The sequence below is a fragment of the Homo sapiens genome, chromosome 12 (assembly GCF_000001405.40).
Source record: "Homo sapiens chromosome 12, GRCh38.p14 Primary Assembly".
Taxonomy (NCBI): Eukaryota; Metazoa; Chordata; class Mammalia; order Primates; family Hominidae; genus Homo; species Homo sapiens.
The window spans coordinates 17,331,566-17,340,474 of record NC_000012.12 but is presented as its reverse complement, the minus strand read 5'-3'; the positions used below and the strand labels follow the sequence as shown (position 1 = coordinate 17,340,474).

Here is an 8,909-nt window from a genome sequence, read left to right as displayed (position 1 = left end):
GCATGTTTTAGAGAAATGGAGAAAAAATTCTAAAATTCCTATGAAATCTCAAAGGGCCTCCAATAGCTAGAACAATTTAATACAATGCTGGAGGGCTCATACTCTCTGATTTGAAAACATATCATAAAGTGATAATAATCAAAACACTATGGTGTTTTGCATACCCACATGTAAAAGAGTAAAGTTGAACCTTTACCTTACACCATATATTAATACAAAAGTTATCTCAAATATATCAAAAAGGTATCTCAAATCTGATACATCTTTACTATCAGATTAAAGTTATATCTGTAAGACATGAGACTGTAAATCTCCTAGGAGAAAGCATAGAAGAAAACCTTCATGATGCTGGATTTTGCAATGATGTCTTGGATATGACACCAAAAACACAGGCAACAAAGGCAAAAATAAGCAAACGGGACTACATCAAACTTAAAAACTCTTTTATAGCAAATGTAATAATCAAAGGAGTTAAAAGGTAACCTATGGAATGGGAGAAAATATTTACAAACCAAATACCTAATAAGGAGTTAATGTGTAAAGAACTCCTACAAGTCCCAACAATAACAAAAATCAAATATCTAAAAAAATTATCAAATGATTTGAATTGTCATTTCCCCAGAGAAAATATATAAGTGTCCATTAAGCTTATGGAAAGATGTTCAACATCACTAATCATCAGGAAAATGCAAATTGAAACCATAATGAGATATGATCCCACATATCTTTTTATTAAAAAATATAAGTCATGGTGAGGATATGGAGAAATTGGAAACTTTGTGCACTGTTGGTGAGAATGTAAAATGGCACAGCCATTACGGATAACAACATGGATATTCCTCAAAAAATCAAAATAAAATTATTATATAATCCTGCAATTCCATTTCTGTGTATGTATCCAAAAGAATCGATAAAAAAAGCTTGAGGGATGATTTGTATACAAATGTTCACTGCAGCATTATTCATAAAAGCCATAAACTGAAAGCAACCTAAATGTCAATCAATGAATGAATACAAAAATGTGATATTTACATACAATGGAATGTTATCCAGCTTTAAAAATAATGGAATTCTGTCATATGCTACAACATGGATAACCCTCAAGGACATTATGCAAAGTGAAATAAGCCTGTCACAAAAAAGAGAAATACTGTTTGATTCTAACTACATGAGTTAACTAAAGTAATCAAACTCCTAGAATCAGAAAGAGGAACAGTCATTTCCGGGGAAAGAAGAGAGGAAGAGTGGAGTTGTTGTTCAACGACCATGGAGTTTCAGTTTTGAAAGATAAAAAATTATAGAGATCTGTTGTGCAACAGTTTGTATATAGTTAACACTACTGAATTGTACGCTTAAAATGACTAAGATAGCAAATTGTGTATGTTCTTTACCTCAATTAAAAAAGGCATTCTTAATAAGATTAACTGTGATTTTTCATTAGAAACCATGGAAAAAGTGGAATGATATTTTTAAAGTGCTAAAAGAAAAAGTCCTGTCAACCAAGAATTCTGTATGTGCCAAACTTTCTTTAAAAAGATGAAGGGAAAATTTAAATGTTCCCAGATAAACAAAAGCTGAGAAAGTTCACTACTAGAAAATCCACTCTACGAAAACATGACTTTCACCTTTATGAGGGCTTCCAGCTAAAATAAAAGGATGCTATACAGTAACTTTTACCTACACAAAGAAATAATAATACTATTAAAGATAACTAAATAGATAAATATAAGTATTTACTTTGTAGTACAACTAAAATACATACTATTGTATTTTTTATTTGTGGCTTTTTTCTTCATAATTTAAAAGTAAAGTACATAAAGCAATAATTAGAATTTTTTTATAATTTTGAAGTTGAATTTATATTAATTCAAACTACATTGTGATAAATTTAGGATATTAATTATAATTCACAGGATAAGAACTAAGAAAATAATAAGACTATTGGAACGTAAAATGATAAGGGAATCAAAAATGGGATACTAAACAAAATCAATTAAACATAAAAGAAGGCAGTAATGAAAGTACTAAGAAACAAAAAAGGTATGAGAATTTCTTTAAGTAGCAAAATAGAAATAGTAAGTTTTTTTATATCAGTAATTAAATGTGAATTGATTAACCAATTAAAAAGCAGACTGTCAGAATTTATTTTTAAAAATCCAAATATATATTTTTTATAAGTAAATCGACATAGGACTCACATTAACTCCAACAATGAAAGTAGCCTAAAAGTGAAATAATTAAAAAAAAAAAGAAATTTCATGCTCATTGTAACCAAGAGTAAGCTAAGGTAGCCATAATAATGTCAGAAAAAATAAACATGTTTACAAAAAGTAAAGAAGGACATTGTATGTTGGTAAAAGAGGCAATATATATAGAAGACTTAACAATTGTAAACATATATGCATGTAACAACAGAGTCCTAAATCATATGCAGTCAAAACTGAAAGAATTAAAGAGAGAAATAGGTTGTTCAATAACAATAGTTGGATGACTCAATGTTCTACTTTCAATTATAACTAGAAAAAACTAGACAGGGATCAATATGGAAATAGAAGACTGAACAATATTCCACACAAGAACAGCAGGATAAACATTGTTCTCAAGTGCACATGAAACGTATTTTGGGACAGGTCATATAATATTATGGCATATTGATATTGTTTTTAAAATGGAAAATAACAAGGGCTGGCAAAGACATGGAGAAATTTGAACCCTAATGCATTGCTGGTGAGAATGTAAAATGGTAAAGGTGCTGTAGAAAATAGTCCCATGGTTCCATAAGAAGTTAAACATCAAATCAATATGCGACCCAGCATTTCCTCTCCTGGATATATAACCCATATAACCCAAAGAATTAAAAACTGGTGTATCAGTCAGAATTCTGAAGAGAAACAGAACCAACAGGATATATAGTGAGTTATATAAAAAATAATTTATCATGGTAATTGGTTCACATGATCATAGAGGCTAAGATGTTTCATATTATGATGTCTGCAAGCTGAAGAACCAGGAAGGTGAGTGTTGTTATTCAATAGGATTGGGGCCTGAGAAGCAGGGAAGCCAATGGTATATGTCTCTGGAGTTTAAAGGTCCAAGAATTGGAGTTCTAGTGTCTGAGACAGAAGACGAGTGCCCAAGCTCCAGAAGAAAGAGCAAATTCCTCTTTCTTCTTCCTTTTTGTTCTATACACGCCCTGAATGGATTAAATGACGCCCATTCCCATTGATGAGGGTGGATCTTCCTTTCCAGTCCATTGATTCAAATGCCAATCTCTTCCAGAAACACCCCCATAGACATATTGAGAAATAGTCCTTTACCAGCTATCTGGATATCTTTTAACTCAGTCAGGTTGCCACTGAAAATAAACCATCACAACAGCTGTTCAGATAAAAAATGTGTACACAAATGCTTATAACGGCACTTTTCACAATGGCAGCAAAGTGGAAACAACCAAGAGGTTCATCACCTGAGGAACAGATAAACAGAATATGGTACATCCATACAATGTAATGCTATTCAGCCATGAAAAGAAATGAAATACTGATTCCTGCTACAGTATGGATGAACACTGAAAATATTATGCTTAGTGAAAGAAGGTTTAAAAAAAAGGTCACACACGTGTAATGTAATGTGAAATATATATAACAGGGCAATCCATAAAGACCAAAAACACAAGCTTAACGGATATTCACTCTCCTTTGTGGGTGATGAGAATGTTCTGGACCTATTTAGCGGTGATGGTCGCATAATATTGTGTCTGCACTAAATGTTTCAGATTAAGATGGTGAATATTATGCAAACTTTACCACAAAAAAGTGTTGGGAGAAATTTTATCTTTAAAAGGTAAATTTATGAAATATAAAATTAAAAATTTGAGTCCCATAAAATATGATTCACTAGCATCTATATCAAATTTGGTATACTATATTTTTTCAGTTGCATGTAAAATATGTATATATATTAATATTCTGGCATAAATCATATAAACTTTTATCCAAATTTACATTCTTTGATCAAAATGCCAAAAGCATTGAAAATATTTTTAAGTAAAAACTTCATGAACACATACATAAGAAACAATAATTTGACAGGAGGAGAGAAAACAAAAACTAAAAAAAAAGCCTATTTTAAAAAGCACTAAGTAATTAAAAGGGAAAGAATTCAGAAAATCGGATAATTCTTTAACAAAAATCGGTGAGAAAGACGTTTTCGTATTAGTTAATATTATTTAATATAGTGTAATAATCATGGTTTTATAGTTGTTCCTATGTTGTGTGTATGCTTATGTTATTTTCCATATGAATTTTGCTATAAATAATGTCCAGAAGATAGTACTCTAGAGTTACCTATGCTGGAAAGTTTCCAATGTTAACAAAGGAAGAATGTTTACATTTAATATCTTACTTTTGTCTAATTACATCCAAATTTACCCTCTTACAGTGCTCCATCACTAAAGTGCATTTCAAAGATTCAGCAAATAAAAATTTGGTTAGAATAAAAATGTAGATGATATAAAAATTATTATTTCAATTAAACTGAAAATTGGATGAATGCTTAGCCTTGGACCGTACTTTAGAATGGTACTCAAATCACCTCACGCATCACCTTGAGGATGGCCAAGTGAGGAAAATACTGAGGAAAACATTTGAATGTAAACTGGGTCTGTCCATAATTTATATTTCACAGTCTTAAGAGAAATATTGAAAATGTTTTTATTTCTATCTCAGTATTATCAAATTCATTGCACATGATTTAATGAGTTTATGATAGCTCTAAATTTTAGGAAATGCAATGTAGGCATTTTGTTTTAAACCTTATCATAGAATTTGAAGTAGATATTATTTTATTCAGTTTGCACTTTTTCCTTAAGACACATAAATCCAAGATATCCAAGTAAAAGTCCTAATTCTTCAGCCTTATAAGACGTCTCTTATTTTAAAATACCTCAAGGCCTAGGAGATAGAGCAAGACTCCGTCTCAAGAAAACAACAACAAAACCCCTCAATGCCCTATTTGTGCACTCTGGAAATTCTAGAAGACTTTTAATATGTTTAAAAAAATGTAGTTGCATGAGAAAAATAAAAAGTTATATTTCTCTTCATCTGCCCTGCAGCCTACTTTTCCAACCTACAGCCTATGTTCTTGACCACCCTTCTTGGTCCCGCAGTTGATATTTGTCATCTCATCTTGACCACCACTTCATTTTATTTGTCATACTCCATAGCATCTTTAATAGAGATCTGTTCACGCGATCATCTTTTATTTAAGATTTGGAGCACACTGCAGAAAAGGAGACGACTAAAACTTAAATACTGACTATCACTGTTCTTGTGATATTCATTGTACAGTCTTTGATACGTTACCCTGGCTCTCCTAAGCCTTGGACAGTCTTCAGACTCAAAGAACCCCTTGCTACAAAGCTATCCAAAGAAACTTATCTTTTACTTATTCTGCATACAAATTCAGCTCTAACTTTACTTTGTCTATGTTTGCCCTGAGGCTAAAGGTGTGGGAGTGGCGGTGCTCATTGTTATATACTCAATGACCTTTAAAGTGCTTTGCTAAAGGAGCAACTCTCTCTCCCAAGATGAATTAAGACTCATCTAAGTGGCTAACAATTGTTTTTTAAATATATATTAAAGAGTTGTTTTTCCCCTTTCCCATTATAAGGGCAGATAACCTTAATTTAAAGTTTTAATGTCTTTTCCTTCACTTCTAATTAATTAATCCTTCTGGAGGAATGACATATACTTTTGAAAAAGAGACTTTTGTATTTGCCTTACAATTAAAAAAAAAAAAATCCCCATTGAGTTATCGTATTTTCTAGTCCACAAATTAAACTTGTTTTTTAAAAAATTAGAAAAGCAATACATGTTATTGGAAGAAGAAAACATACAACAAAAACAGAAATAAGAAATAAGTCACTCTGATAGTGATAGCTATTGCTTTTATCATCATTCTCAAAGACAGCTACTATTATCAATTTCTTGTACATGTCTAGATATTCTGGATATATACATTTATTTACAACATCATCTAAAATTTTTAATAAGCTTTACATAGTGTTTTCCTTCACTTTTTTTTTTTGCTTAGCCTTATATTTTCAGTATCATTTCATATAAATAATAGAGCTCTAATGTTTGATATGGCCATAGAGTATTCATTCATATGAATACAGTGTGATTTATTTATTTAGTCTTCTACAGGCTTACTTTGTCATTGTTCCTGGCATATTGCTACTATACACGGCAAAGCAATATACGTCCTACATACACTGAGCACATGTACCATTAGAACTGCAAGATAACCCTAGAAATAAATTGTTGGTTTAAAACAAAAGTACATTTTACATTTAGGCATACAATGCAAATGAATCTTTCAATGATTTTTTTACCAACTTACATTCAATCACTATGCTTATTTCTTAGGATACAATAGAAGTAATAGCTATCCTTTTGCAGCTCCTAAAAGGCAACAAATGAAGTGATTAAGAGAATGTACTCTCAGTGTAATGCCTGAATTTGAATTCTGTCTCTGCTATTTTGTGACCTTGAACAATGTATTTAAGTTTTTCTGTGCTTTAGATGTTTTTCATTCATACAGTAGTATTATTAATAATAGAACTTACTTTTTTAGGTTGCTATAAGAATTATAATTAATTAATGTATAAAGTACATTAAAACAATGCATGGAACCTAGTAAATATCTAATACAAATTAGCTATTATTAACCCAATCTAGAGCAGAGACAGACAAATCAAATAAACATAGGAACATATAAAGTTGAAACTGTTATAATCAGTTTGAAGAAGAGGCATTTGTTGATTTCAGAGTCTACAGTATGAATCTTACTATGTCACAAAAGTCAGAGAAAGACTTTTGAAAAGTGATTGATGATTCATTTGAGATCTGAACAATGAGTCAGAGTTAACCAGGTGAAGAATTTCAAGAACATTCTGGGGGAAGAAAATTCTGTCCAAAGGTCTGTGTCAGGGGAACAATTGCCAGTATAGGGAAGTGACTAAAAGAGAGTCACTTCGTTGAAGAGAAAAAACACGCAAGGGGGAGTTGTCTCAGATGAACCTGGGGAGGTAGGCGGAGTATGATCACATATTTATTTTTGTCTTAATGGAAATCTATTGAAAAGTTTGAAGAGTGGGAAAAATCAAGGAAGATTATATGGTGACATAATCAGATTGATTCATCAAAAAGTTATTCTCTATGTATATGGAGAATAAGTTAGAAGGTGGCTCAGTGAAGATGAAGGTGGACTGGTTGGAAGGTAATTATGTTAATGAAAGTGAGAGATAATGGTAGTTTGGACTAAATCAACAAGGTAGATGTGCAGAAATGAATGAATTTTTGAATGAATCGACAAGCTTTGGCAATGGGTGGTTTATGAGGTTTATGAGGTTAATAAAAAATGAGGAGTAATTTTCAAGCACGTATATTTTAAAAACTAATCTTGGCCAAGTGCGATGGCTGACGCCTGTAATCCCAGCACTTTGGGAGGCTGAGGCAGGCAGATTACTTGAGGTCAGGAGCTTGGGACCAGCCTGGCCAACAGGGTGAAACCCCATATCTACTGAAAATACAAAAATCAGCGTGACTTGGTGTTAGGCACCTGTAATCCCAGCTACTTGGGTGGCTGAGGCAGGAGAATCGCTTGAACCTGGGAGGCCGAGGTTGCAGTGAGCTGAGATCACACTGCTGCACTCCAGCCTGGGTGACAGAGCAAGACTATCTCAAAAACAAACAAACAAACAAAAAACGAGTCTAGAATCTGACATATCACAGGCACTCAATAGTTTTTGATTTTCCTTTTTTCCTTTCCCTCCCTGACACCCCTGCTTTTTTATAGTACATGTAGAATGGACTCAATTTTTGGATACACATATTTGTTTTATTTTTAAGTTGTAAACTTTTGTGTTACAAATATTATTATTATTATTATTATTATTATTTAGACTAAGTGTTTTAATATAGCCAGGAATATATTCTAGTTAAGATATTTCCTAATAATGTATTGAAACAGTAATCTCCTAATTTCTGACATACCAGAAATCTTGTCTTCTGAAGTTAATGGCACACTATGGTAATCTCAAATTATTTATTATATCCCTGTAGTATATAAGATGCAACAACTCTAATTAAAAAATATTGGTGCCAGGTGCGGTGGCTCACGCCTGTAATCCCAGCACTTTGGGAGGCTGAGGCGGGTGGATTGCCTGAGCTCAGGAGTTCGAGGCCAGCCTGAGCAACACGGTGTACTAAAATACAAAAAATAAGCTGAGCTTGGCAGTGTGTGCCTGTAGTCCCAGCTACTCGGGAGGCTGAGGCAGGAGAATTGTTTGAACCCTGGAAGTGGAGGTTGCAGTGAGCCAAGATCAGGCCACTGCACTCCAGCATGGATGACAGAGTGAGATTCCGTCTCCAAAAAAAAAAAAAAAAAAAAATTATTGCCAAATGGAAATAAATAGAAAAAATCTTGACAAAAATAATAATATCAATAACAGTACATCATTGTTATATGAGCCAGAAATAGTCTTCTAAGATCATCAGATGTATCCTCTTAGCTATTTCTGATGGAACTCTATGGGGCAGATATTATTATTCCCATTTTATACATAAGAAAATTGAGGTACAGTAAAACAACTTAAGTTGTAGGAAACTTCACTGTACCCATAAGTGGTGGCACTGGGATTTCAGCCCACGTCTTTGCACTTGCACTCCAATAAGAAGTTTGAAAGCTTTGTTTTTAAAACCACTCTCCTCAATTATGGTAACAGCATTTACTAGCTGTATAACCTTGTGCCTTCATCCTAAAGTTTCACACAGCGACTATAGATAAGAAAATTTATAAAAAGCATTAAGAAAATACCTGTCACATGGTACATGTTAGCTGTAAGT

General features: G+C 32.6%; 2 annotated features.

Moving 5' to 3' along the window:
• Window positions 2,871-3,040: an enhancer, noted in NCBI's record as "experimental_26385 CRE fragment used in MPRA reporter constructs". NCBI's record gives its function as "activates a minimal promoter by MPRAs in K562 erythroleukemia cells, with activity observed for both the introgressed and non-introgressed 12:17490454 variant alleles {active_cell/tissue: K562}" and the evidence as "EXISTENCE:reporter gene assay evidence [ECO:0000049][PMID:34662402]".
• Window positions 6,438-7,637: an enhancer, noted in NCBI's record as "P300/CBP strongly-dependent group 1 enhancer chr12:17485772-17486971 (GRCh37/hg19 assembly coordinates)". NCBI's record gives its function as "activates an origin of replication core promoter dependent on BRD2, BRD4, P300/CBP, MED14 and CDK7 cofactors, with strong dependence on P300/CBP, by STARR-seq in HCT116 cells {active_cell/tissue: HCT116}" and the evidence as "EXISTENCE:reporter gene assay evidence [ECO:0000049][PMID:35650434]".